This window comes from Homo sapiens, chromosome 2 (genome assembly GCF_000001405.40).
Source record: "Homo sapiens chromosome 2, GRCh38.p14 Primary Assembly".
NCBI lineage: Eukaryota > Metazoa > Chordata > Mammalia > Primates > Hominidae > Homo > Homo sapiens.
Genome location: NC_000002.12, coordinates 47,694,208 through 47,721,451, shown reverse-complemented (window position 1 = coordinate 47,721,451; position 27,244 = coordinate 47,694,208). Strand labels below are relative to the sequence as shown.

Below are 27,244 nucleotides of genomic sequence, written 5' to 3'. Positions count from 1 at the left end.
GTGTCAGCTATGCAGGATGCTGCGGTAGAAGGATTGCTTAAGCCCAGGAGGTTGAGGCTGCAGCGAGCCATGATTGTGCCACTGCACTCCAGCCTGGGCAGCAGAGCAAAAGCCTCTCTCAAAAACAAAACAGAAAAAGAAAACAAGTTGGCTGGGTACGGTGGCTCACACCTGTAATCACAGCACTTTGGGAGGCCGAGGTAGGTGAATCACGAGGTCAGGAGTTCAAGACTAGGCTGGCCAACATGATGAAACCCCGCCTCTACTAAAAATACAAAAAAATTAGCCAGGCGTGGTGGCGGGCGCCTATAATCCCAGCTACTAGGGAGGCTGAGGCAGAGAATTGCTTGAACCCGGTAGGTTCAAAGGTTGCAGTGAGCTGAGATCGCGCCACTACACTCCAGCCTGGGCGACAGAGCGAGACTCAGTCTCAAAAAAAAAAAAAAAAAAGAAAAAGAAAACAAGTTTTATTTATATGCATGCAGGAACGTTCAGATAAAGAAGCTCATTGATCTCAACCTAATAAGGAAAAGAGAGCGAGAGAAAGGCTTCTATGGGAAAGACACATGGACATTTGAGGAAAGACAAATGGACTTTTAGAGAAACAAATGGAAGAGATGGGAGTTTGTTGCTGATGTTTATGTTTGTCTACATGAGTGGTTGGTGTTCTTCCTGGGAGTGAGCTCCTCTGGAGAGGAGATTTATGGCAACTTTACTCCCAGAAGGCTCTTCCTTTTAGTGAAATAAAGGAAGTTCCAAAAAGGCTTCTTTCTGCATCTGCTGTATCTCTAGTGTCTTCGGTTTAAAATAATCTTCACACTTATTCTGGAGGGCCAAGTGGATCCCCAGAAGGGGAACATGGGCTCTGACTGAGGAGCAAGGAAATGTATGAGTTTCAGTATCATCTATGGTAACACTTCAGAGTCAGTAGAAAAAAAAGTTCTGGGCAGAGTGCAGTGGCTCATACCTGTAATCCCAGTAATCTGGGAGGCTGAGGCAGGAGGATCACTTGAAGCCAGGAGTTCAAGACCAGCCTGGACAACATGGTGAGAACTCATCTCAAAAAAGAGAAAAGAAAAAAAATTAGCTGGGTCTGGTGGCACATGCTTGTGGTGCCAGCTACTGGGAGGGTGGGGTGGGAGGATTGCTTAACCCTGGGAGGTCAAGGCTGCAGTGAGTCGTGCTTGCACCACTGCACTCCAGCCTGAGCAATAGAGTGAAACCCTGTCTCAAGAAAACCAAAAGTTTTGATTCTCAGCTATGTTCTGGTGAGGTTGCTGAGTAGCTCAGTGATGGATTGGTGAGGTGTTTGTACATAGATGCTTTATGCATCCCCCTTTCCAGAGGCCTGGCCTCTTAAGTCCAGTCGTTTAGAGCCAGCGACATATCTTCTATCAGCTCTGGGAGGTGCTGGATAGAGGTCAGCAGCATAGTGACTACTGAGGGATGCCGGGGGGTTCAAGTCCTGAAATTCCACCATTAGAGCTTCATTTTGTAGGTCGTACTTTTCCCTGTCCCTCCAGAAACTAACAAGTGAAGTCTCTCTTCCTCTCTCTCTCACTTTCTCCTCAAATTTTAAGGGTAAAATCACATAAAATTGTAAAGGTCCCTCCTCCCTATCCTGCCTCAGGAGTGACACCAGTTCCTAAGTGTATATGTGTTTTTTATTTTTATAGAAAAGATAAAACACCATTGCCCCTGTTCTGTGCCCTATTTTCATTTTCACTGTAAGCAATACATTTCTTTTTTCTTTCCTTTTTTTTTTTTTTTTTTTTTGATACAGGTTATCACTCTGAAGCCCAAGCTAGAATGCAGTGGGTATCATAGCTCACTATAACCTCAACCTCCTGGGCTCAAGCGATCCTCTCACCTCAGCCTATCAAGCTGTTGGGACTACAGGAGTCTCTAATATATATGAATGAGACATAGTCTCCCTATGGTGCCCAGGCTAAGTAATACATTTTTAAAATAAGTTCATATCAGTACCCAAATCATTTTCCTGTTGTTGTGATGAATGCAATGGCATGCCATTGCACAGAAGTGCCATTATTTATTAAACCAGCCTCTCAGTGATGTCAGCCCTCCTAGGACTGCTATTACAAATGGTATTCAAATGAATACTCTTGTATCGAAGTCGTTGCACACATATGCAAACACACTCATAAGAATAAATTCTTAAAAGTGAAACTGTGGACTAAAGGGTGTGAGATATATATTTAGGTTATCGACTTAAAGATGCAGTGTGACGTTTGCTGCTGAAGTGGGAGGATACAGAGCTGTATGAATACAGCTGCAGGAGAATTTATCTTCTACTAGGCAGAAACAACCTACACAAACTTCCCTTTACAAGACAGTTCAGATTCCTATACAATAGGCTTTCAACAAATATGTGGAATTTACTGAAACGCAGGTTGTCAAAGAAATCTTAAATGCTTTGTCTGTGAGCTAAAGAGGAGCAGACAGAAGCTAAAGAGAATTTCAGTTCCAAATCCAGCCTAACCACCATCTCCTACCCCCAGACTCTTACTTGTTCCACCTGCCCCTCAAGCTTTCCCTTTTCTTTACCTATGCTCCTCCTGGCTTCACTTCCTTCCCCACCCAGCTGAGCCCTCCGAAGGCTGTGTCTTCCAAGTTACCTGTCAATGCCTCCAACTCTAACCATTTTTTTCTTTCATGCCACCTGCTTTAAACTCCCCAAACTTTTTTTTTTTTTTTTTTTTTTTTTTGAGATGGAGTCTTGCTCTGTTGCCCAGGCTGGAGTGCAGTGGCATGATCTCAGCTCACTGAAACCTCCACCTCCTGGGTTCAAGCAATTCTCCTGCCTCAGCCTCCTGAGTAGCTGGGACTACAGGCGCCTGCCACCATGTCCAGCTAATTTTTGTATTCTTAGTAGAGACGGGGTTTTACCATGTTGGCCCAGGCTTGTCTCAAACTCCTGACCTCAGCTGATCCGCCTTGGCCTCCCAAAGTGCTGGGGTTACAGGCATGAGCCACCATGCCCGACCTCAACTCCCCAAACTCTGGACTCTCTGCCTCCTCCTCCAGGTTACTGAGCAATGCTGGAGAAATTCCATTCTTGGGGAGATTGAAGATCCAAGGTCGCCAGGCTCAGCGGGGCTATGGCATGGCCTGACGGTCATATATACATTAAATTAAATAGAGATGAGGTCTCACTATGTTGCTCAGGCTGGTGTTGAACTCCTGGCCTCAAGCAATCTTCTCATCTCAGCTGCCCAGAGTGCTGGGATTACAGGCATGAACCATCATGCCCAGCCCCTTCTACCTGTTTCTAGTCAGCTCCCTCTCCCATTGCCTGCCTTCCCTTGTGCCTCAGAGTTCACTGCATCAGCCATGGCAAACTCCTCCGTCTGGGCTCTGAGTTTCCTTCCTTCTCGCTTTCTCAGGGACCTTGTCTGCTATCCCTTTTCTCCTATATCTTCAACTATTTCCTCTTTGTTCATTCTTTCTTCTCAGCTTACAAACCTGGCATCTAGTGGTTGCCAAATAATTCTTTTTATGAAGTCAAATTTAGGCAGGCTCAGTGGCTCACATCTATAATCTCAGTACTTTGGGGGGCCGAGGTGGGAGAATTGCTTGAGGCCAGGAGTTTGAGATCAGCCTGGGCAACATAGTGCAACCTCATCTCTACAGATAATTTAAAAATTAGCTGGGCATGGTGGTGGATGCCTGTGGTCCCAGCAACTTGGGAGGCTGAGGTAAGAGAATGGCTTGAGCCCAGGAGGGCAAGGCTGCATGCAGGCAGCCGTGATGGTACCACTGCACTCCAGCCTGGGTGACAGAGTGAGACCCTGTCTCTAAAAATAAATAAAGTAAAATTTATTCAGATATAATTTACAAACAATAAACTGCATATTTAAACTAGATAGCTCAATGAGTTGGTTTTTTTTCTCTTTGGAGACAGGATCTTGCTCTGTCACTCAGGCTGGAGTGCAGTGGTGCAATCATGGCTCACTATAGCCTTGAACTCCTAGGCTCAAGTCATCCTCCCACCTTAGCCTTTTGAGTTGTTGGGACCACAGGCGTGTACCACCTTGCCTAGCTAATTTTTAAATTTTTTTTTAGGGACAAGGGGTCTCACTTTGTTTCCCAGGCTGATCTGGAACTCCTGGCCTCAAGTGATCCCACCTCAGACTCCCAAAGTGCCAGGATCACAGCTGTGAGCCACTGTGCCTGGCCCTTAATGAGTTATGACAAATGCATATTCCCATCTAACCATCACCTCTGTAGGGTCCAGACCCAAAGGGTCGGTGGGTTTTTCTCCCCATGTGCAGAAATGAGAGATTGTAAAAATACAGACACAAGATAAAAAGATAAAAGACAAGACAGCTGGGCCCAGGGGACCACTACCACCAAGACGCAGAGACCGGTAGTGGCCCCGAATGCCAGGCTGCACTGATATTTATTGGATACAAGACAAAGGGGCAGGGTAAGGAGTGTGAGCCATCTCCAATGATAAGTAAGCTCACGTGGGTCACGTGTCCACTGGACAGGGGGCCCTTCCCTGCCAGGCATCCGAGGCAGAGAGACAGAGAGAGAGAGAGGGAGAGACAGCTTACACCATTATTTCTGCATATCAGAGACTTTTAGTACTTTCACTAATTTTGCTACTGCTATCTAAAAGGTAGAGCCAGGTGTACAGGATGGAACATGAAAGCGGACTAAGAGCATGACCACTGAAGCACAGCATCACAGGGAGACGGTTAGGCCTCCGGATAACTGCGGGTGGGCCTGACTGATGTCAGGCCCTCCACAAGAGGTGGAGGAGTAGAGTCTTCTCTAAACTCCCCCGGGGAAAGGGAGACTCCCTTTCCTGGTCTGCTAAGTAGTGGGTGTTTTTCCTTGGCACTGACGCTACTGCTAGACCACAGTCTGCTTGGCAATGGGTGTCTTCCCAGATGCTGGCATTACCGCTAGGCCAAGGAGGCCTCTGGTGGCCGTGTCCGGGCATAACGGAAGGCTCACACTCTTGTCTTCTGGTCACTTCTCACTATGTCCCCTCAGCTCCTATCTCTGTATGGCCTGGTTTTTCCTAAGTTATGATTATAGAGCAAGGATTATTAAAATATTGGAATAAAGAGTAATTGCTACAAACTAATGATTAATGATATTCATATATAATCACGTCTAGATCTAGATCTAGTATAACTCAGATCTAGTATAACTCTTGTTGTTTCATATATTTTATTATACTGGAACAGCTCATGCCCTGGGTCTCTTGCCTCGGCACCTGGATGGCGTGCTGCCCACAACTTCAATCAAGATATAGAACTTTCTTGGCCAAGTAGCACAAGCCATTGGGCCTGGCCAAATTTTTTTTCCATTTTAATGTTGAGTTAGACATCATAGTATGGATATATCACAATTTTTATCACAATTCATCTGTTTAAGGACAGTTGGGTTGTTTCCCAGTTTGGTCTAGTAGAAATAAGGTTACTATGAACATTTGGACACAAGTATTTTTGTGGATAGTTTCATTTATCTTGGTAAATACTTAAAAGTGGAAATGCTAGGTCATAGAGTAGGTGTATGTTTAACTGCCTAACTTTATAAGAAATTGCCAAACTGTTTTCCAAAGTGGTTGTATCATTTTACATTTTTATGAGCATTTAATGAGAATTCCAACTGCTGTACATCTTTGCTAACATTTGTTATCGTCTGTCTTTTGAATTTTAGTCATTATAGCGGTGCAAAATGGTATATAGTTCATTGCGGTTTTAATGTTTATTTGTCTGAGGAGTAACGTATACCTTTTCATGCACTTACTGGTCATTTGCATATCCCTTTTTTTTTGAGACTGTGTTGCCCAGGACAGAGTGCAATGGCACAATCTAGGCTCACTGCAACCTTTGCCTCCTCGGTTCAAGCGATTCTCGTGCCTCAGCCCTGAGTAGCTGGGATTACAGGTGTGTGCCACTTTGCCTAATTTTTGTATTTTTTTGTAGAGACAAGGTTTCACCACGTTGCCCAGGCTGGTCTTGAACTCTTGAGCTCAAGCTATCAGCCCACCTTAGCCTCCGAAAGTGCTGGGATTACAGACATGTGTCATCATGCCCAGCCCACTTTCTTTGTGAAGTGTCTGTTCAAGTCTTTTCACTATTTTTATTGTGTTGTTTCTTTAAAATTGCTGTATGAATTCTTTACATAATCTGGATACAAGTTATTTGTCAGAAATATGAGTTACAAATATGGCATGGGATATAGGCACATCCTAGCCTATGGCTTATGTTTCCATTTTCTTTTAAAAAATTTTTTAAATTTTAATTTAAATTAATTTATTTAGTTTTAGAGACAAGGTCCTACTCTGTCACCCGGGTTGGAGTGTGATGGTGTGATCATAGCTCACTGCAGCCTCAAACTCCTGAGCTCAAGCAATCCTCCCACCTCAGCCTCCCAAGTAGCTAGAACTACAGGCACATACCACCACTGCTGGCTAATTTAAAAAAAATTTTCAGCTGGGCACGGTGGCTCACGCCTGTAATCCCAGCACGTTGGGAGGCCAAGGCGGGTGGATCATGAGGTCAGGAGTTCAAGACCAGTCTGGCCAAGATGGTGAAACCCCATCTCTACTAAAAATACAAAAATTAGCTGGGCATGGTGGTGGGCCCCCGTAATCCCAGCTACTTGGGAGGCTGAGGCAGGAGAATTGCTTGAACCCGGGAAGCAGAGGTTGTGTTGAGTCGACATCTTGCCACTGCATTCCAGCCTGGGCAAGAGAGTGAGATTCTGTCTTAAAAAAAAAAAAAAAAAAAAAAAAAAAAGTTTCTATAGAGACGAGGCTCTCACTATGTTACCCAGGTTGGTCTCAAACTCCTGGCCTTATGTGATCCTCCTGCCTTGGCTTCCCAATGTGTTGAGATTACAGGTGTGAGCCACCATGCCCAGCTCTTTTCATTTTCTTGATGTCTTTTGATGAACTGAAGTTTTTAATTTTGATGAAATCAAATTTATCAACTTTCTTTATGGTTACTCCCCACCGTCCCTTTTTTAAAATGAGATGGGATCTCAGTATGTTGCCCAGGCTGGTCTTGAACTCCTGGGTTCTAGCAATCCTCCCAACTTGGCCTCCCAAAGTACAGGGACCACAGGTGTGAGCCACCACACCTGGCCTGGTTACTCCTTTCTGAGTGTAAGAAATATTTGTCTAGCCCAAGATTATGATATTCTCCTATATTTTATTCTAGAAGCTTTATAGTTTTAAGCTTTTCTGTCTACATTCATGAACCATCTTAAATTAATTTCTATATGTGGTGGTAAGTCCATTTTTTCCCCATATGTTTGTCCAGTTGTTTCAGTACAAAGTGTTGAAAACTTTTATTTCCTTATTGAATTGCTCTGAATCCTTTGTCAAAAATCAACTAACTATTCCCATCTAGAAACCTAACTCTCTTTGGTCCTTTTTTATAGTTTTCATTTCTCTGCTAAGATTCTCCATTTGCTTAGTCATTGTAATTGCCTTTTCCTTTACATCTCTGAAAATATTCATAATAGCTGTTTTTTTTCTTTTTCTTTTTCTTTTTTTGAGACAGAGTCTCACTCTGTCACCCAGGCTGGACTCACTGCAACCTCCCCCTTCCAGGTTTAAGCGATTCTTGTGCCTCAGCCTCCCAAGTAGCTGGGACTACAGGTGCGCGCCACCATGCCTGGCTAATTTTTGTATTTTTTGGTAGAGATGGGGTTTCACTATGTTGGCCAGGCTGGCCTTGAACTCCTGACCTCAGGCGATCAGCTGGCCTCGGCGTCCCAAAGTGCTGGGATTACAGGTGTGAGCCACCATGCCCAGCCATAATAGCTATTTTAAAGTCCTTGACTGCTGTGCTACTTAGGTATCAATTTATTGTGTCTAAGTGCTAAATCAACCTTTCATAATCTGCCTCTGTGATAATGAACTGGATCTTTTAAGCATTTCTCTTTTGCAATGACAACAGTGTTAGTTTTTGTTAGAAGAGGAGGCTAGAGGGACTTTGTAGGAAAAATTGGCTTTCTCCTGGTTCCAGTGCTTCTTTTTTTTTTTTTTTTTTTTTTTTCACTTAGAGATAGGGTCTTGCTCTGTCACCCAGGTTAGAGTGCAGTCGTCCAGTCATAGCTTACTGCAACCTTAAGCTTCTAGGCTCAAGGGATTCTCCTGCCTCAGCCTCCTTGGTAGCTAGGACTACAGGCATGCACCCCTATGCCTGGCTATATATTTTTTTTAACCTTTTTTTTTTTTTGAGATGGAGTTTTGCTCTTGTTGCCCAGGCTGGAATGCAATGGCGTGATCTTGTCTCACTGCAATCTCTGCTTCTCGGGTTCCAGCGAGTCTCCAGCCTCAGCCTTCAGCCTCCCGAGTAGCTGGGATTACAAGCATGTGCCACCACATCTGGCTAATTTTGTATTTTTAGTAGAGATGGGGTTTCATCATGTTGGTCAGGCTGGTCTTGAACTCCTGACCTCTTGAACACCTGCCTCGGCCTCCCAAAGTGCTGCGATTATAGGCATGAGCCACCGTGCCCGGCTTTTTTTTACTTTTTACTTTAGAGACAGAATCCCACTGTGTTGTTTGGGCAGGTCTCAAACTCCTGGCCTTGAGTGATCCTCCTGCTTCAGCCTCCCGAGTCACTGAGATTATAGGCGTGTGCCACCCTGCTGGCCTCCAGTGCTTCCATTTTTGCCCGTATGTTTGTTTGCTCTTGTTGCATGACTGACAACCACGTGTCCAATGCACAAAGTTCCTCAGTGAGCTTGCTGGCTCCAGCCTGGTAACCACCTCACTGCAGTCCTTCCAAAGTGGATGCCATGCATCCTAGGCCTCAGGCTGCTCTGCCAGCCAGTGGGCTCATGGTGTCCTGATTCCCTCTGTGTATCCATCTACTAGCCCCGGCCCACCTGCACCCCAAATAGTTGTTCCCCATGACCCTCCTAACATGGATACCATGCAACCTAGGCATCACATGTCCTGCTGCTAAGTTGGTTCCTAATGCCTTGATTCCCTCTGTACTCCCACCCACTAACCTTGGCCCACCTGCACCCTGGAGGCAAGTGCTTCCTATTTGCCCACCAATTGTAGATTAGTTTTGTTTTGTTTTTGAGATGGATTCTTACTCTTTCACCCAGGCTGGAGTGCAGTGGCACGATCTTGGTTCACCCACCTCCTGGGTATAAGCCATTCTCCTGCCTCAGCCTCCCCAATAGCTGGGATTACAGGCACACACCACCACGCCCAGCTAATTTTTATATTTTTAGTAGAGATGGGGTTTCACCATGTTGGCAAGGCTGGTCTCAAACTCCTGACCTTGTGATCTGCCTGCCTTGGCCTCCCAAAGTGCTGGGATTACAGGTGTGAGCCACCGTGCCCGGCTGCTATAGATAAGTTTTGACCTGGGCAACCCAGTGAACTTTTCCATCCTAGAAACTGTTGTGTATATTGTTTTTATGCTTTGCTTTTTAGATTTTCTCATTTTAAAATTTTTATTTTATATATATATATATATGTATTTATTTATTTTTTGAGATAGGGTCTTGCTCTGTCACCTAGGCTGGAGTACAGTGGCACAATCATGTCTCACTACATCCTTGACCTCCTGGGCTCAAACCATCCTCCCACCTCAGCTTCCTGACTAACTGGGACCACATGTGCTTACCACCATGCCCAGCTAATTAAAAAAATTTTTTCTTTTGTAGAGACAGGGTCTCACTATGTTGCCCAGGCTGGTCTTGAACTCCTGGGCTCAAGCTATTCTCCCAAAGTGCTCAGCCTTTGGGCTCAGCCTCCCAAAGTGCTGGGATTACATGCGTGAGCCACCACATCAGGCCTAGGTTTTTTTTAATATACCTGAAATTTTTTTTTTTTTTTTTTTTTGAGACAGGGTTTCACTGTGTTGCCCAGGCTGGAGTGCTGTGGCACAATCTCAACTTAGTGCAACCTCAACCTCCTGGGCTCAAGCAATTCTCCCACCTCAGCCTCCCAAGTAGCTGGGACTACAGGTGCGTGTCACCATGCCCAGCTAATTTTTGTATTTCTTGTAGAGATGGGGTTTTGCCATGTTGGCCAGGCTGGTCTCTAACTCCTGAGCTCAAGTGATCCACCTGCCTCAGCCTCCCAAAGTGCTGGGATTATGGGTGTGAACCACTGCGCCCGGCCTTATATACCTGAATTTATAAAGCAATAATTATTATAATAGGAAGAAACCAGTATCCAGCCCAAATTGTCAGCCAAGAAGTCAGGCAGTTTTTTTGCTTTGTCCTTAAAGATTTAGATGACGAAATGCACAGGGCACGTATGAGGGAAGAGGTGCAGAGCTTCCTCGCCCTCTCTGGCTTGCCACCCTCTAGGAATTCAGCTACCTGGAAGCTCCCATTGCTTTTCTACTTCATATTTCTTGTGCATCATTTCAGATCATAAAATAAGCAATGCCTTATTTTTTTCAACAGTTTCTTGGTATTACTCGGTATAGACAGATCACAGATTATTAATTCAGTCCCCTCTTGCTGGACAACCAGTTTGGTGCAGTGTGCTCTTCCACTACTAAGCCAAGTTGTATTTTGTCTGTTCGAGTCTGTGCTTTTAACTTAACTGTGGAGAACAGGTGCTGCATTTTATTCTTGGTTGTATCTCCAGCACCTGGCCCTGTCCTTGGCATGTTGTAAAAGTAATGAGTTCAATTCCATCCCACAGGGCTGCTCCTACAAGTGCCTGACCCAGGAGGATTTACCAGCCAAGAAGGGCCTCCCCACTGCTTCATCTTTGCCTCCTTCTGGTTCAGGTGGCAGGTGAATCCCTCTGGAGGCAGCTCCCTTCCCACTGATCTCCTGGATTCTCCAGGTCATCATAGAAACGTGGCCTCGGAAGACCCCTCTAGTAGGGGCCACAGTCTCTCCCCAGGGTCCCGACTCGGCTTTTTCCTAAACCCTCCTTTGGGAACCACTGCTCAGAGCATGCTCAGGCCACTGTGTTCTCTTGAGAACTATGTGCTTCTCCCAGCACTGCTTCACAGAAGGAGGAGGAGGCAGTTCATTTTCTCCCTGACTTCAAGCCTCTGGCACAGCCAGACTGCTGGGAAGCATTCACTGAAGCTTCCCAGGCCTTTCTCAGCATGAATATTTTACACCTCTGCAGTAAACTCAATTGTTAAAGCAAGGAATAGAGTAGTCCATGCCACACTGTTGCACACTAGCCAGGAGTTTGGGGATATAAAGACAGTGGGGAAGGATGGGGCTTCTCATCTATTGGGCCTGGTGTAAGTCCCAAGAGCCAGGAGCTCCATTATCCAAGGGCAGGAGAAGATGGATGTCTGAGCCCCAGACAAGAGAGCAAATTCACTTTTTCGCCAACTTTTTGTCTTATTTAGGCTCCCTATGAATTGGATGATGCCTAATCTCATTAGTGAGGACAGATCTTTACTTAGTCTACTGATTAAATGCTCATCTTTCACAGAAATACCTACAGACACATCCAGAAATAATGTTTTACCAGTCATCTGGGCATCCCTCAGCCCAGTCAAGTTGACACCTAAAATTAACCATCAGAATGCCTCATAGAAGATGCTCAATAAGTGGGGAATGAATGAATAGCCCTGTATTCATCTGCTTGGGCTGCTGTCGTGAAACATCATAGACTGGGTGGCTTAATTCTACAGACATTTATTTTAATTTATTTTCCCTCGTTCTGGAGACCAAGCAGTCCAAACCAAGGTGCTGACTGATTTCGTTGCTGTTGAAGGCCGTCTTCCTGCCTTGCAGATGGGCTTTTTTTTTTTTCTTCTGTGTCCTCACGTGGAAGAGAGAGAGAGAGATCGAGAGAGTGCACTCTGGTATCTCTTCCTTTTTGGGGGGAGTTGGGGTGGTGTGGGGAGGGACAGGGTCTTGCTCTGTTACCCAGGCTGGAGTGCAGTGCTATCACAGCTCACTGCAACCTTGACCTCCCAGGCTCAAGCCATCCACCCATCTCAGCCTCCTGAGTAGCTGGTACCACAAGCACATGCCATCACACCTGGTTAATTTTTAATTTTTTTCTGTAGAGATAGGGTCTTGTTATGTTGCCCAAGCTGGTCTTGAACTCCTGGGCCCAAGCGTACCTCCTGCCTCAGCTTCCCAAAGTGCTGGGATTATAGGCTTGAGCCACTGCACTCAGCCTCTTCCTCTTCTTGTAAGGACACCAGTTCTATCGAACAAGGGCCCCACTCTTATGATCTCATTTAACTTTACCTCCATAAAGGGACTGTTTTCAAATATAGTCATGTTGAAGGTTGGGGCTTCAACATATGAATTTGAGGGGGACAGAGTTCAGTCCATAGCAGGCCCCTTAACTCTCCCACTGGACAAAGAAAATAATAATGACAATATAACCAAAAAAGCTGAAGGTAAATCTGTGCACACTGAGAATGATTGTTGGGTATTTCCCTTGGCTGGTCATGGGAAACCACCAAAGAGGAGAAATCTACCAGCGTGCTTCTGTGAGCTTTGGTGGTGGTGTGATTTGGACACAGTGGGGCCTTGAAAGTGCCCACAATAGGCTGTCAGGTGAGAGGAAACACAGAAGGGAGGTAGCTTACTACAGAATGATCATGGCCTAATAACATCTGGGTGATTATATGGGTTGCACCTCAGCTGTCTATAAACTTTAGCGTCAGCAGATCTGTCCATGGCTGTCTCTGCTTTTCCAGTTGGTTGGGCATATCTCCGGCCTGAGATGGTCACCCGTCAGAATCCTTTGAGTATCTTGCCAGAATTCAGCAGTTTTTCTGTGCACCAGGAGGATGCTGCAGGGAGGCTGAGATTCTCTGAAGATACGTGTATTGCTGAAAGTAGACTTATGATTATGGAATCATAATTTCCTTGTACTTTTATCTAAAATTATACATGAGCCCGCTGAAGGAGAAAATTGGCCACAAAAGGTAGTCAAAAACATTTGCACAATAACCAAATACTTAAAAGCACATATCTTTTACAAGGTAATTCCTGCAGAAATATTAATTATTTGGAACATTTCACTGCAGAGCAGCTGGGGTTTGTTGGAATAACTTACAAGTCCAGAGGAAAGCAATGAAGATCGAGCCACCAGAACAGAAGGAATACTGCCAGCCCTGAATCTTGGAGCAGAGGTCTGTTCCCAGCCAATCAGAACTTGTTTCCTGGCTCATTGTGGAAGCTTCTAGCCTTCAGAAACCCACAGGTGAATCACAGCCGATGACTTGAAGGGGTGGCGGTGGGATTCAGCGAGAGAACAAGAGCTGGAGTCCAAAAGAGGCTGCACACAAGAATTTTGTATCTTTCCTAAACCAGGAAAAAAGAAGGCAAGAGGTAGGGAAAATGAACCAGGCAGTGGGCCTGGATGTCCTCAGGAATTCTAAGTGCTGCCCTGAAGCAGAGCCTCCTGCCCACCTCTCCAGCTTCCTCTCCTACCACTGAATTTTAAGCTCCAACAACACTAGAGGACTTAGAATTCCGGCCCACACCAAGCTGTGCCTTGCTTCTGTGTCTTTGCTCAAGCTGTTCCCACTGCCTGGAATGCCTTCCCTCTCCCACTTCTCTTCAGCTGGCTAACTCCCACCTACCCCACGAAACACAGCACAGGTGGCCCTCCCCCAGGAAACCTTCCCTGACCCCCAGCCCCCTTAGCAGGAACAGCTTCCTGAGCACAAGGTACACCTTGCATTACGGTTGTCTGTGGATGGACTGTCTTTGCCCCTCAGGTCTGAGTGCTCAAGCAGATCGTGGTGTATTCATCAGTGTATCCCAGTGCCTCACACATATTAGGCACTCAATATAAGTTGGCTGAATGAATGTTGATAGAGAGGGACTGATGGGGGCAAAAGCCTGGCAGCAGAACCTACTTTGCCTGGGTGAAATGCAGCAAGCTTAAAAGTCACCATTCGGGCCCAGGGTCAAAAAGACAGGCCTGGTGTACCTCCTCCAGTTGCTTATCTAGACAAAGGATACAGGTCGCCAAATAACAATCATAATTTTATTATTTTTATTTTTAAAAATTATATAATACAAAGTAGAGACGGGGTCTTGCTATATCGTCCAGGCTTGTCTCAAACTCCTGGGCTAAAGTGATCCTCCCACCTTGGCTCCTCAAAGTGCTGGGATTATAAGCACGAGCCACCGTGGCCAGCCAAGAATAACTTTTTTTTTTTTTTTGAGACAGAGTCTCTTGCTCTGTCACCCAGGCTGGGGTGCAGTGACATGATCTTGGCTCACTGTAACAGAGCAATCTCAGCACACTGCAACTCCTGGCTCCCAAGTTGAAGTGGTTCTTGTGCTTCAGCCTCCCAAGTAGCTGGAATTGCAGGTGCCCGCCACCATGCCTGGCTTATTTTTGTATTTTTAGTAGAGGCGGATTTCACCATGTTGGCCAGGCTGGTCTTGAACTCCTGACCTCAGATGATATGCCCGCCTCAGCCTCCAAAGGGTTGGGATTACAGGTGTGAGCTACTGAGCCCAGCCCCAACAATAATTTTAAGAGTTCCTTTTTCTCCTTTTATCCCCAAGCAGAACGTACATGGCCCGAGGCTCCTGTAAAGAAACAGAACCTCTAGGCCGGGTGTGGTGGCTCATGGAGGTAGGCACATTGCTTGAGCTCAGGAGTTCAAGACTAGCCTGGGCAACATGGTGAAACCCCATCTTTACAACAAATACAAAAATTAGCTAGGTGTGGTGGCACATGCCTGTGGTCCCAGCTACTTGGGAGGCTGAGGCAGGAAAATTGCTTGAGCCCAGGAGGCAGAGGTTGCAGTCAGCTGAGATGGCACCACTGCTCTCCAACCTGGATAACAGAGCAAGACTTTGTCAAAAAAAAAAAAAAAAAAAAAAGGGAAAAACAGAACCTCTAGAGCAGGAAGGGATATTGGAGTTGGTCTCACTCAGGCTATATAATTAAAGTGGGGAAGGTAAAACAGCAGGGTTGGGTGGGGGTTGGTTAAGGGACTTGCCTGGTCCCATAGCAAGTTAGTGGCAATGTTGGGATTAAATTCCAAGTCCCTGATTCCCCAGTTCCACAGTGTGTTCCCGTATCACTGATTGCACAGAGCATGGATGGAGATGAATGGAGTAACCACTACCTGGGACAACAGACATCCATCCTACAAATGAGTGCCAGATGAGGCTGTCAAGGCAGGTGGGAGGAATGACAGGCTTGGGAGTTGCTGCACCTTAAGAGCTGTGGGAAGCCAGCAGATGATAGTGGTCCAGCACTGTCCAACAGGAAGGTAATGCCAGCCACTTGTGTCATTTTAACATTTCCAGTACACACATTTTTAAAAGTAGAAAGAAACAAAGTAAGTTTTGCCTCCAGTTTCCAAAGGCTTTATTAGTAAAGAAGGATTCATCCTATTGCCTCCAAGTCAATGGGATGAAGAGCTGTGTCTAGGGACCCAGGAACGGCGTCGAGGCAGACTGCTGCTTTGACCTCCTTTTATTCATAGATCTAGTCATAGGCACGAGATTTGTAGTCAACCAGTTCTTCTTCTTTAAGCCATTTCTTTGCCAGCACTTTGTAATGAATCACTGCCACCAATGACGTTCCCGCCTATTTTAGCGCAGAAGTCCCTGCGAATAATAGTCTCTAGCATAGAGCCCAATGAATTGGTCTCCCCAAGCATCCTTAGCCCTGTCTTTGCCACATTCAGCCCCTCCAGGACCATGGCCACAACCTGCCCTGAGTTCATGTACTTCACTTATATTGAGCGCCTAATATGTGCCAGGCACTGGGATACACTAATGAATACGCCACGATCTGCTTGAGCACTCAGACCTAAGGGGGAAAGACAATCCATCCACAAAATGGACCTTGTGCTCAGAAAGGTCCGGGAAGAATGGGTGGTCTTTCAGGTTAGTGTAGTGCTACTTCAGGGGTTTCTCAGAGGCCCGAAGGAACTTCATGGTCACCAGGTAGAATCCCTTCTGCTCAGAGTATTTGATGATTTCACCCACCAGGCTGTGCTGAACAGCACTCGGATTGATAATGATGCTCTCAGTGTTGGCCATGGCCTGAGGATCTGACAGTGTCAGGTGGTGCGGGAGCTGAGACTTGGAGCCAAGAAATTATTATTATTATTTTGAGATGGAGTTGTGCTCTTGTTGCTAAGGCTGGAGTGCAGTGGCGCTATCTTGGCCCACCGCAACCTCTGTCTCCCAGATTCAAGCAATTCTCCTGCCTTAGCCTCCCAAGTAGCTGAGATTACAGGCACGCACCACCAAACCCAGCTAATTTTTTGTATTTTTAGTAGATTCAGGGTTTCACTATGTGGGCCAGGCTGGTCTCAAACTCCTGACCTCAGGTGATTTGCCCACCTCAGTCTCCCAAAATGCTGGGATTACTTACAGGCATAAGCCAACATGCCCAGCAAGAAATTATTTTTAATAATATATTGGCTGGTGGCTCATGCCTGGAATCCTAGCACTCTGGGAGGCCAAGGTGGGTGGATCACCTGAGGTCATGTGTTCGAGACCAGCCTAGCCAACATGGTGAAACCCTGACTCTACTAAAAAGTACAAAAAAAAAATTACCTGGGCACAGTGGCAGGTGCCTGTAATCCCAGCTACTTGGGAGGCTGAGGCAGGAGAATCACTTGAACCCAGGAGGCAGAGGTTGCAGTGAGCCGAGATTGCACCATTGCACTCCAGCCTGGGAGACAGAGTAAAACTCCGTCTCAAAAAAAATAAAAATAAAAAATAATGATATTTAGCTCAGTATATCCAAAATGTCATTTTAACATATGATCAATATAAAGTTATTGATGAGATATTTTACTTTTTTTTCACAGTAAGGCTTTGAAATCTGATGTGTATTTTACACTTTGTATATTTTGTACTGGCCACGTTCCAAGCACTCAACAGCCACATGTGGTGAGTGGCTATCTTACTGGACAGCATAATGTAGGACAAAAATATTTCCTTTACCCTTTCCAAGTTTTTAGCTGGAGCCTTCTGTAACAAAAGACAGACTAATAAAAGAAAAACAAACAGAAGTTTATTAACATGTACATATCATGTACACATGGGAGACACCCAGAAAAATGATGAAATCTCATTTCATTTAGATTGATTTAGAGGTGATTTAGAATTCAAGCTTAAGTACTATCATCTGTTGATGACTGGTTATGGGAAGATGACCAGGAAAAGTATGGTAAACAAGAGTACGATTTGGTTTTTTTTTTTGAGACAGAGTTTTGCTCTTGTTGCCCAGGCTACAGTGCAGTGGTATGATCTCGGGTCACTGCAACTTCCGCCTCCCGGGTTCAAACTATTCTCCTGCCTCAGCCTCTTGAGTAGCTGGGATTACAGGCCCCCACCACCACACCTGGCCAATTTTTTGTATTTTTAGTAGAGATAGGTTTTACCACATTGGCCAGGCTGGTCTCGAACTCCTGACCTCAGGTGATCCACCCGCCTTGGCTTTCCAAAGTGCTGGGATTACAGGCAAGAGTAAGATTCGTTGTGCGGATTTAACTCAAGTGCCTTCACTAATGGTAATGTAAAAGGGCCTGCTGCTCCTTGCTTGTAGAAAGAAGCCAAAATAATAATGAGATGTGATAGAAAGAGAGCAAGACTTTATGATCTGTGCCAGCAAGAGGAAGAGCAGGTGAAAAAAAATTCCACTCTTCAATTTGTGGAGGGAATGCCCAGGTTTTTAAAGAGCAGGTCTGGAATGCAGAAGAGGCAGGAGGACTGGGAGCTGCCATGCTGTGTGATTTGCTCCCATGGCTCATCTTGAATTATTGTTCCTTCTGGTGAAGGGGTTGGTGCCATCGTGGGTCCTACCAGGTTATAAATTAATCACAGTCAATCTAGTAGCCAGGAATAGGTTCCAGCCTTGAAGTCATCTTTTGTTAGAGTGAGACTTCTGGAGATGTCAGGTCCATATCAAGATCTGACCCCTGAAGCGTTGAAGCAAATATATGACCAGATAAGTGAGTGTGGAACATTCCGAGGCTGTAAAGTTTATCTCAGAACTACATCTTGAAACTGGGTAGGGCAGGGAGAAGAGCAAATGGAAAAAGAAAAAAATGTTTTATTTCTTATTTATTTATTTTTTTGAGACAGAGTCTCGCTCTGTTGCCCAGGCTGGAGTGCAGTGGCACCATCTTGGCTTGCTGCAAACTTCGTCTCCTGGTTTCAAGTGATTCTTCTGCCTCAGCCTCCCAAGTAGCTGGGATTACAGGCATGCACCACCAAGCCTGGCTAGTTTTTGTATTTTTAGTAGAGACAGGTTTCACCATGTTGGCCAGGCTGGTCTTGAACTCCTGACCTCAAGTGATCTGCCCACCTCGGCCTCCCAAAGTGCTGAGATTACAGGCATAAGCCACTACGCCTGGCTGGAAAAAAAGTTTTAAAGAAAAAAAAGTTGTCTTTTTTTTTTTTTTAAGACAGAGTTTGATTTTGAGGAATGTTTTGATGTTTATCTTTGACAAAAACTTTTTTTTTTTTTTCCTGACGTGGAGTCTCACTCTGTTGCCCAGGCTGGAGTGCAGTGGCATGCTCGGCTCACTGCAACCTCTGCCTCTTGGGTTCAAGCGATTCTCCTGCCTCAGTAGCTGGAGAAGTAGCTGGCACTACAGGCGCCCACCACCACGCCTAGCTAATTTTTGTATTTTTAGTAGAGATGGGGTTTCACCATGTTGGCCAGACTGGTCTCAAACTCCTGACATCAGGTGACCCACCCGCCTCAGCCTCCCAAAGTGCTGGGATTACAGGTGTGAGCCTCTGTGCCCAGCCGAAAAAAAAGTTTGAGGCTAAGCCACTAAGCTCCTCAGTTACAATAAGAATTTCCTGTGATTTAGTCATCTTTCTCTTCCTGGTACAGAGAGGAGACAGCATTATAAATGGAGATTTCCTTTATAGATGTAAATTTCCCTTACAAAAGAGCAATTTTTACTGTTTTCAGACCTTTTCCTGTGTCTGCTGTTTCTCAAAAATATCAGCTGTAAATAGTCCTTATGTCAAAGAGACGCATTTTGGGGTGGCATATTCTGGTCTCCTACAGTCATGTTTTGGGGTGGCATTTTGGTCTGCTACAACAGGAACTGGTAGTGATAGGCCACCCACTATACCATCCAGTAACATCAGTACCACTGGTTTGATGTAGTATCTAAAATCCCCACCATTAGCCACTCTTATGGATAGAAGCATTATTTTCAGAAGGCATATATGCCATTCACGAGGGAAAAAACATTTATTTGGTAGACTGTGCCATTAGCATAACAGCCACTTGGACCCATAATGACTTGGAGGCAGAGGACGGACTCCTGTGACATATTATCCCCTGCCCTCAGTTATCTAGAAAGGACTAGGTCCTTAAGGGAAATGCTTTCCTTTTAAATTCTCTAAGCCCAATAGGCTGCTTTGAAAGCTCCATGTTTTCAAAAGTTAAGTTTACCCCTACTATCTTAAGGATCTCACCTGAGCACTCTTGGACTTTTGGCATGGGTCTCTGCAGAATTACAATGCCCCAAACCCTGCCTTCTTTTCTGGGCCCTTCTCCCACTGGCCCCCAAATATTACCCCATCATGACCCTCTGGGGCCCCATTTCTTTTGAGGTTTTGCCAGTAAATCCCTTAAGTCAGTGTCTAAGTCAGTATGAGCTGCCTTAGCAGGATAAACTGGGGCCTGGAGATCTCAATCCAGGAAGAAGACTAGAAAGTCTTTTTTTTTTTTTTTTGAGACGGAGTATCGCTCTGTCACCCAGGCTGGAGTGCAGTGGCGCCATCTCGGCTCACTGCAAGCTCTGCCTCCTGGGTTAATGCCATTCTCCTGCCTCAGCCTCCAGAATAGCTGGGCCTATAGACGCCCACCACCACGCCCGGCTAATTTTTTGTATTTTTAGTAGAGACGGGGTTTCACCATGTTAGCCAGGACGGTCTCGATCTCCTGACCTCATGATCCGCCTGCCTCGGCCTCCCAAAGTGCTGGGATTACAGGCGTGAGCCACCGCACCCGGCCTAGAAAGTCCTTCTTAAATAGGTTCAGCGATTAAAAAGAGAGTCAATTTTGCCATTAATATTTCTCTACTCTACAAGGGAGGTTATAAAAGTTGTGAGAACATATACTGTTTCCAAGAGATACAATAAAGCTATTTTTCATATTGAATGAGTAGAAAATGCCTCTTGAAGGCCAGGCATGGTGGCTCACGCCTGTAATTCCAGCAATTTGGGAGGCTGAGGTGGGTGGATCACTTGAGGCCAGGAGTTCAAGACTGGCCTGGCCAACCTGGTGAAACCCTATCTCTACTAAAAAAAAAAAAATACAAAAAAATTAGCCGGGCATGGAACCCAGAAAGCGGAGGTTGCAGTGAGCTGGCGTCACGCCACTGCACTCCAGCCTGGGTGACAGAGCGAGACCTTGTCTCAAAAAAAGGAAAAAAAAGAAAATGCCTCTTGTAAACATTTTTATTTGATGTTTCTTCCCTCTCCCTTTTTTTTTTTTTTTTTTTTAGGCATGGTCCCTCTATTGTTCAGTCTGGTCTCAAACTCCTGGGCTCAAGTTATCCTCCTGCCTCAGCTTCCCAAATAACTAGGATTACAGGTATGTACCACCATGCCCAGCTACTTTTATTTTTCTTCAATAAAATCTTATGTAAAACATTTCCTAGAGTGAATAGTTCTAAAGTTTTGGGGTGGATCAGTAAAATTTAAAAATAAAACAAACAAAGAAAGATACAAAGAAAACTCAATACCATTAGGTGACCAAAAGCACATTAAGGAAAGATTTCCAAAACTTGGAAATAGGGAAAAGGGATTACTACCTTTCTTCTCAGGGTGCTACTGGGCTTTGTCTAGTAAACATACCCAAGGATTATCTGATCGGCTAGGGGTATGTGCCTTCGTTTGAATTGCTAATCTATTGAGTACAGTATTTAACTAGAAGACTAGCTGGTAGAAAACGAGTAGGAATTTAAATTAATTTTGTCCTATACAGATGCTGATTATTTCTGTCCTTTAGAGAAGACAATCCCAAAGGTGACAGTTAATGTAGACTATAAGCCAGTTTTCACTGGCACAGTGTCTCATGCCTATAATCCCAGCACTTTGGGAGGCAGAGGGGGCGGTGGATCACCTGAGATTGGTAGTTTGAGACCAGCCTAGCAAAGATGGTGAAAACCCATCTCTACTAAAAATACAAAAATCAGCTGGGCATGGTAGTGGGTGCCTGTAATCTCAGCTACTTGGGAGGTTGATGCAGGAGAATCGCTTGAACCCAGGAGGCAGAGTTTGCAGTGAGCCGAGATTGCACCACTGCACTTCAGCCTGGGTGACATAGTGAGACTCAGTTTCAAAAAGAAAAAAAATTATCCAGTTTTGTATCTAAATTGGCAAACTTTTGCAAACATTCTTTCCTTTAGCCGCTATAAAGGCTTCACTCTCTTTAATTCTCTTTGAACTAGCCTTACCATTTTGCTGGTTCCTTCATTAATGAGTTAACTAAACATGTGACATGTGCTCATTTTTTTATTTGCATGAGATTCATGTTTTTTTAACTTTTTGAGAAGTATACTTTCTCAGTAAGGTTGGCAAGGTTTACTCTGTCAAGTAAAAACAGAAAATTTATACCATCTACTATCTCCATAAAAGTAAATATATTTAATACAAAAAATGAAGGCTATAATGGGAGGTAAAGGACAATATTTAAATGGGTAGTGTAGGAGACCAGAATGTGCCACCCCAAAATATGCCTCTTTGGCATAAAGGCTATTTTGAGCTGATTATTTTGAGAAACAGCAGACACAGGAGAAGCTCTAAAAACAGAGTAGAAGTTACCCTTTTGTAAGGGAAATTTACATCTATAAAGAAAATCTCCATTTGTAAGGGTGTCTCCCTCTCTGCACCAGGAAGAGAAGGGTAACTAAATCATAGGAAACTCTTTTCAATGGAGAAGGCACCAAATTAAATCTGCATGATAAACTTTAATTTTGTTTACCATGCTTTTCCTGGTCATATCCTTATAACCAGCATCCCCCATACTTTTTTCCTTTGATTTTTAGCTGAAGATGCAATATAAGCCTGAATTCTAAGCTACCTCTTGGAGAGTTACACATTTTCTCTGGGCTATTTCCCATGTATAGGAAGGAAATTAAAATATCTCACCCCAAGATATACTTCTTTGACATGTTTTGAGATGGCTGTTCAGAGGGCCTGCAAACAGAAGCAGCCCTGCAAAGCTGTCTTTTGTGCGGAAGATTTGCATCTGTAGAGAAAATCTGCGTTAATGCAGCCATTTTTCTCTGCATTTTCTCTTTCCTCTAAAGCCTTCCCTTCTCTGAATCTAGGAAAGATTAACTGAGAGTCTTGTAACCACCCAGTGGGTTCACCTTGTTCACTGCCTAGACAGAGCGAATTTATCAAGACAGCGGAATTGCAATGGTGAAAGAGTAATTCATGCACAGCCGTCTGTGTGGAAGACTGGAGTTTTATTATTACTCAAATCAGTCTCCCTGAGCATTCAGGGATCAGCGTTTTTAAGGATTATTTGGCAGGTATGGGCTCAGGAAGTAGGGAGTGTTGATTGGTCGGATTGAAGATAAAATTACAGGGGGTTGAAGTGAGTTCTTGCTGACTTCTGTTCCTGGATGGGATCACAGGACTGGTTGAGCCAGATTAGCAGTCTGAGTGGTGTCATCTGCTGCATTGGAATGCAGGGTCTGCAAAATATCTCAAACACTGATCTTAGGTTTTGCAACAGTGATCTTATTCCCAGAAGCAATTTGGGGAGGTTGAGACTCTTCCAGCCAGAGACTGCATGGCTCCTAAATCATAATTTCTAATCTTGTGGCTAATTATGTCAGGCCTCTGAGCCCAAGCCAAGCCATCATATCCCCTGAGACCTGCACGTACACATCCAGATGGCCGGTTCCTGCCTTAACTGATGACATTCCACCACAAAAGAAGTGAAAATGGCCTGCTCCTGCCTTAACTGATGACATTGTCTTGTGAAATTCCTTCTCCTGGCTCATCCTGGCTCAAAAGCCCCCCCACTGAGTACCTTGTGACCCCCACTCCAGCCCGCCAGAGAACAACCCCCCTTTTTCCTTTACCTACCCAAATCCTATAAAACGGCCCCACCCCATCTCCCTTCGCTGACTGTCTTTTCGGACTCAGCCCGCCTGCACCCAGGTAATTAAAAGCATTATTGCTCACACAAAGCCTGTTTAGTGGTCTCTTCACACGGACGTGCATGAAAGTTAGTCCTACAAAGACAGACTGGTCTCCACGCAAGCAAGGGTTTTTTTCCAGAAAGTGCTATTGTCAATTTTGTTGGTTCAGAGTTTAAACTATAAACTAAATTCCTTCCCAAGACTAGCTCAGCCTACACCCAGGAATGAACAGACAGCTTAGAGGCTAGAAGCAATGTGGAATCAGTGAGGTCTGACCTTTTTCACTGTCATAATTTCCTCAGTTATGATTTTTGCAAAGGCAGTTTTGTAATGCCTAACCTTGTTTTTACTAACCCTGTTTTTAGACTCTCCCTTTCCTTTAATCACCTAGCCTTGTTTCCACCTGAATTGACTCTCCCTTAGCTAAGAGAGCCAGGCAGACTCCATCTTGGCTCTTTCACTGGCAGCCCCTTCCTCAAGGACTTAACCTGTGCAAGCTGACTCCCAGCACATCCAAGAATGCAATGAACTGATAAGATGCTGTGGTGAGCTATATCCGCAGTTCCCAGGAATTCGTCCCATTAATAACGCCCGATTAATAACGCCCAAAGCCCCGCGTCTATCACCTTGTAATAGTCTTAAAGCCCCTGCACCTGGAACTGTTTACTTTCCTGTAACCATTTATCCTTTTAACTTTTTTGCCTACTTTACTTCTGTAAAATTGTTTTAACTAGACCCCCCCCTCCCCTTCTAAACCAAAGTATAAAAGAAAATTTAGCTCCTTCTTTGGGGTCTAAAGAACTTTGAGCGTTAGCCGTCTCTTGGCCGCTGGCTAAATAAACAGACTCTTAATTCGTCTACAAGTGTGGCGTTTTCTCTAACTCGCTCAAGTACAACAGTTTCAGTCTGACACCTTTAAAAGTCTGAAAGTGTAACCACCTGATGGGTTCGTCCTGCCCACTGCACAGGCAAAACCAATTCACTGAGACCACAGCATTGCAATAAAGAAAGAGTTTAATAGATACAAGGCTGGCCACGCCACGTGGAAGACTGAATTATTACTCAAATCAATCTCCCTGAAAAATTCAGAGGTTAGGGTTTTTAAGGATAGTTTGGCAGGCCAGGGAGCCTATTTCTGGGTGGGGCCACATGACCAGGTGGCAGAGATCAGCAGGTCTCAGTGGAGCCATTGGTTCATCGTTAGTCAGAAATGCAAAAACCTGAAAAGATATCTCAAAAGACCAATCTTGGCTGTGCGCAGTGGCCCATACCTGTAATCCCAGCACTTTGGGAGGCCAAGGTGGGAGGATCACCTGAGGTCAGGAATTCGAGACCAGCCTGACCAAAATACTAAAATTAGTATTAGCCTACTAAAAATACAAAATTAGCCGGGCATGGTGGCACATGCCTGTAATCCCAGCTACTTGGGAGGCTGAGGCAGGAAAATGACTTGAACCTGGAAGGCGGAGGTTGTGGTGAGCCGAGATCGCACCATTGCACTCCAGCCTGGGCAACATGAGCGAAACTCTGTCTCAAAAACAAAAACAAAACAACAACAAAAGACCAATCTTAGGTTCTATTAGGTTGGTGCAAAATAATTGCAGTTTTTGCGATTAAAAGTAATAGTGATGTTATCTGCAGGAGTAACTGGGAGAGTTGCAAATCTTATGACCTCCAGCATAATGGCTGGTAATTGTTTATGTTTACACCTTAGAATTCAGCCTGCTCACATCCTCCTAACCTGGTAGTCTCTCATTAGCTTTACAAAGGTGATTTAGTTTTGGGTAAGGGTTATTATCATTTAAACTATAAACTAAATGTCTCCCAAAGTTAGGTTGGTCTAAGTCCAGGAATGATTAAGGGCAGTTTGAAGGTTAGAGGCAAGATGGGGTTGGTTAGGTCAGATCTCTTTCACTGTCATAATCTTCTCACTGTTAGAATTTTTGCAAAGGTGGTTTCAAAAGAAACATTTATCATCTATTCTGAGGACTGCTACCTGTGAGGTTTCATCTGCATAACAAGACCACCTTTGCTAGTCAGGCCTCCTCCCCCTCCCAGAACCTGTTTTGCCACAACCAAAGCCCCCATTCTTTCTGGAACCTCAAGATGACATACAAGCTTCAGAACCCCATTGCATGGTAGGGATAATCACTCTGTGGTTCTCTCCCATATGCACGCTAATAAATTTGTATTCCTTTTCGCCAATAAATCTGCTATTGTTAGTTGATTTTTCAGCAAACCTTCAGAGGGTAAAGGGCAAGTTTTACCTTGGCCCCTGCAGTTTTGGCGCTGTGAGTAGGATACCAAAGCTCTGCTCTTCTGGAAGCTGCAGTCATGGGAACTCGGGACCCGATGAGAGAGAAGAAAGGAAGAAACCGGTCAGGCAGGCAGAGTGGATCCTTAGTTGAATTCTTTCAAACAAAAGAACGGCCTAAAAAAATCATGCTGGAGGCTGGGCACAGTGGCTCACGCCTGTAATCCCAACACTTTGGGAGGCACAGGCGGGCGGATCACGAGGTCAGGAGATCCAGACCATCCTGGCTAACATGGCGAAACCCCATCTCTACTAAAAAATACAAAAAAAAAAAAAATTAGCTGGGCGTGGTGGTGGGTGCCTGTAGTCCCAGCTACTTGGGAGATTGAGGCAGGAGAATGGTGTGAACCCAGGAGGCGGAGTTTGCGGTGAGCCGAGACCACGCCACTGCACTCCAGCCTGGGCGACAGAGTGAGACTCTGTCTCAAAAAAAAAAAAAAAAAAAAAAATCATGCTGCATGCTGCAGGCACAGATAAGGGAACTCATACAGAGGGGCTTCCCTAAGACATGCCCACTGCCGCATAGATAAGAAAGGCTACACAGGTGACTTGCCCTTGCAGACATGCCTGCAATGCAAAATTCCGTCCCCTGACACATGCGCAGTAAGGGGAATAAAGCAATCTGGAGTAACTCAAGCTAAGGGCCCAGGTGCACATTAGGATGATGGAGTGGAGCTACCAAAAATTCACATCTTATGCAAATGAGATGCCTAGCCCTCATAGGTTTCTTATAAAACCCTTTGCATTCAAGTGTGAAAAGGGCAACCCTCTTCTGGGCCCCCTCTCTCCTTGGCTTTTGAGGGTACCAGGGAGTAAGCTGTAGTGTGAGAAAGAACTTGACCTTTGTGTGTGTGATGGCTGGCTAGTTGCTGATGAAAGCTGCAGTTTTAGAGGTGGCCGATAACAGTTTCAATGAATGGTTATTACTGCAGGGGGCTACTTTCTTCTTTGCACGTTTACTTAAGAAAGGCATGGTTTGAACACTTAGAGGCTGTAAGAGCACTCACCACCAACGGACAAGATTCCCATGGGAGGTGGGCTGGTCACAAAGTGGGCTGATTGGCAGTGGGTCACCCACCAGCTTCGGGGGAATATCTTTGTAGTGAGGTGCACTGTGGAAGTGTTGTGCAGCCTCCTGTGGTATTTTCCTCTTTTTAGGGTCTTGGGTTTCAGTGTAAAAGTGGAATCTTTGATTTTTTTTTTCTTTTCTTTTTTTTTTTTTTTGAGACAGAGTATCACTCTGTTGCCCAGGCTGGAGTGCAGTGGGGAGATGTCAGCTCACTGCAACCTCCGCCCCCTGGGTTTAAGCGATTCTCCTGCCTCAGCCTCCCGAGTAGCTAGGATTACAGGCTCCTGCCACTGCGCCCGACTAATTGTTGTATTGTTAGTAGAGACAGGGTTTCACCATCTTGGCCAGGCTGGTCTTGAACTCCTGACCTCGTGATCCACCCACCTCGGCCTCCCAAAGTGTGGGATTACAGGCGTGAGCCACCGCGCCCGTCCGGAATTGATTTTTAAAGATCTAGATGTTCTGTTTTCCCGCTGTGCCTGCCTTTCATATATTATTACTGGGCCCTAAAAACTGCAAATGCTCTGTTGGCCCTCTTCCCTCTTTTTTTTTTTGACATGGAGTCTCGCTCTGTTGCCCAGGCTTGGACTCCTGGGCTCAAGCGATCCACCCATCTTGGCCTCCCAAAGTTCTGGAATTACAGGTGTGAGCCACCACTCCTGGTCGATCTGTCTTGTGGTTGCCCAACACCACACTTCTGTCTGTAAGTTCCCCAATAAAATCACCTCTATGATGACAAGCTGGACTTGTCTCCCTTCTTCTTCAGTTTCCTGG

General features: G+C 45.1%; 1 protein-coding gene and 1 pseudogene across 1 annotated transcript in view, besides 8 other annotated features; both read right to left on the bottom strand.

Moving 5' to 3' along the window:
- Nucleotides 2,522-2,571: an enhancer, noted in NCBI's record as "active region_15738". NCBI's record gives its function as "activates an Ori minimal core promoter by ATAC-STARR-seq in GM12878 lymphoblastoid cells {active_cell/tissue: GM12878}" and the evidence as "EXISTENCE:reporter gene assay evidence [ECO:0000049][PMID:35858748]".
- MSH2 (mutS homolog 2) overlaps nt 11,622-27,244 on the bottom strand; it is a 306,764-nt gene continuing 291,141 nt past the window's right edge. Inside the window, exon 17 of the mRNA NM_001406637.1 lies at nt 11,622-13,269. Coding sequence (NP_001393566.1) covers nt 13,148-13,269 — 122 coding nt within the window. The 3' untranslated portion in view covers nt 11,622-13,147. The remainder of the gene's footprint in view (nt 13,270-27,244) is intronic.
- Nucleotides 12,052-12,361: an enhancer, noted in NCBI's record as "active region_15737". NCBI's record gives its function as "activates an Ori minimal core promoter by ATAC-STARR-seq in GM12878 lymphoblastoid cells {active_cell/tissue: GM12878}" and the evidence as "EXISTENCE:reporter gene assay evidence [ECO:0000049][PMID:35858748]".
- NME2P2 (NME2 pseudogene 2) lies at nt 15,416-15,984 on the bottom strand (annotated as a pseudogene).
- Nucleotides 19,842-20,385: an enhancer, noted in NCBI's record as "H3K27ac hESC enhancer chr2:47928206-47928749 (GRCh37/hg19 assembly coordinates)". NCBI's record gives its function as "activates a minimal SCP1, AML or CMV promoter by ChIP-STARR-seq in primed H9 embryonic stem cells {active_cell/tissue: H9 hESC(primed)}" and the evidence as "EXISTENCE:reporter gene assay evidence [ECO:0000049][PMID:30033119]".
- Nucleotides 22,565-23,109: an enhancer, noted in NCBI's record as "OCT4-NANOG-H3K27ac hESC enhancer chr2:47925482-47926026 (GRCh37/hg19 assembly coordinates)". NCBI's record gives its function as "activates a minimal SCP1, AML or CMV promoter by ChIP-STARR-seq in naive and primed H9 embryonic stem cells {active_cell/tissue: H9 hESC(naive and primed)}" and the evidence as "EXISTENCE:reporter gene assay evidence [ECO:0000049][PMID:30033119]".
- Nucleotides 24,199-24,742: an enhancer, noted in NCBI's record as "NANOG-H3K27ac-H3K4me1 hESC enhancer chr2:47923849-47924392 (GRCh37/hg19 assembly coordinates)". NCBI's record gives its function as "activates a minimal SCP1, AML or CMV promoter by ChIP-STARR-seq in naive H9 embryonic stem cells {active_cell/tissue: H9 hESC(naive)}" and the evidence as "EXISTENCE:reporter gene assay evidence [ECO:0000049][PMID:30033119]".
- Nucleotides 24,743-25,287: an enhancer, noted in NCBI's record as "OCT4-NANOG-H3K27ac-H3K4me1 hESC enhancer chr2:47923304-47923848 (GRCh37/hg19 assembly coordinates)". NCBI's record gives its function as "activates a minimal SCP1, AML or CMV promoter by ChIP-STARR-seq in naive and primed H9 embryonic stem cells {active_cell/tissue: H9 hESC(naive and primed)}" and the evidence as "EXISTENCE:reporter gene assay evidence [ECO:0000049][PMID:30033119]".
- Nucleotides 25,906-25,955: a silencer, noted in NCBI's record as "silent region_11466". NCBI's record gives its function as "represses an Ori minimal core promoter by ATAC-STARR-seq in GM12878 lymphoblastoid cells {active_cell/tissue: GM12878}" and the evidence as "EXISTENCE:reporter gene assay evidence [ECO:0000049][PMID:35858748]".
- Nucleotides 26,377-26,920: an enhancer, noted in NCBI's record as "H3K27ac hESC enhancer chr2:47921671-47922214 (GRCh37/hg19 assembly coordinates)". NCBI's record gives its function as "activates a minimal SCP1, AML or CMV promoter by ChIP-STARR-seq in naive H9 embryonic stem cells {active_cell/tissue: H9 hESC(naive)}" and the evidence as "EXISTENCE:reporter gene assay evidence [ECO:0000049][PMID:30033119]".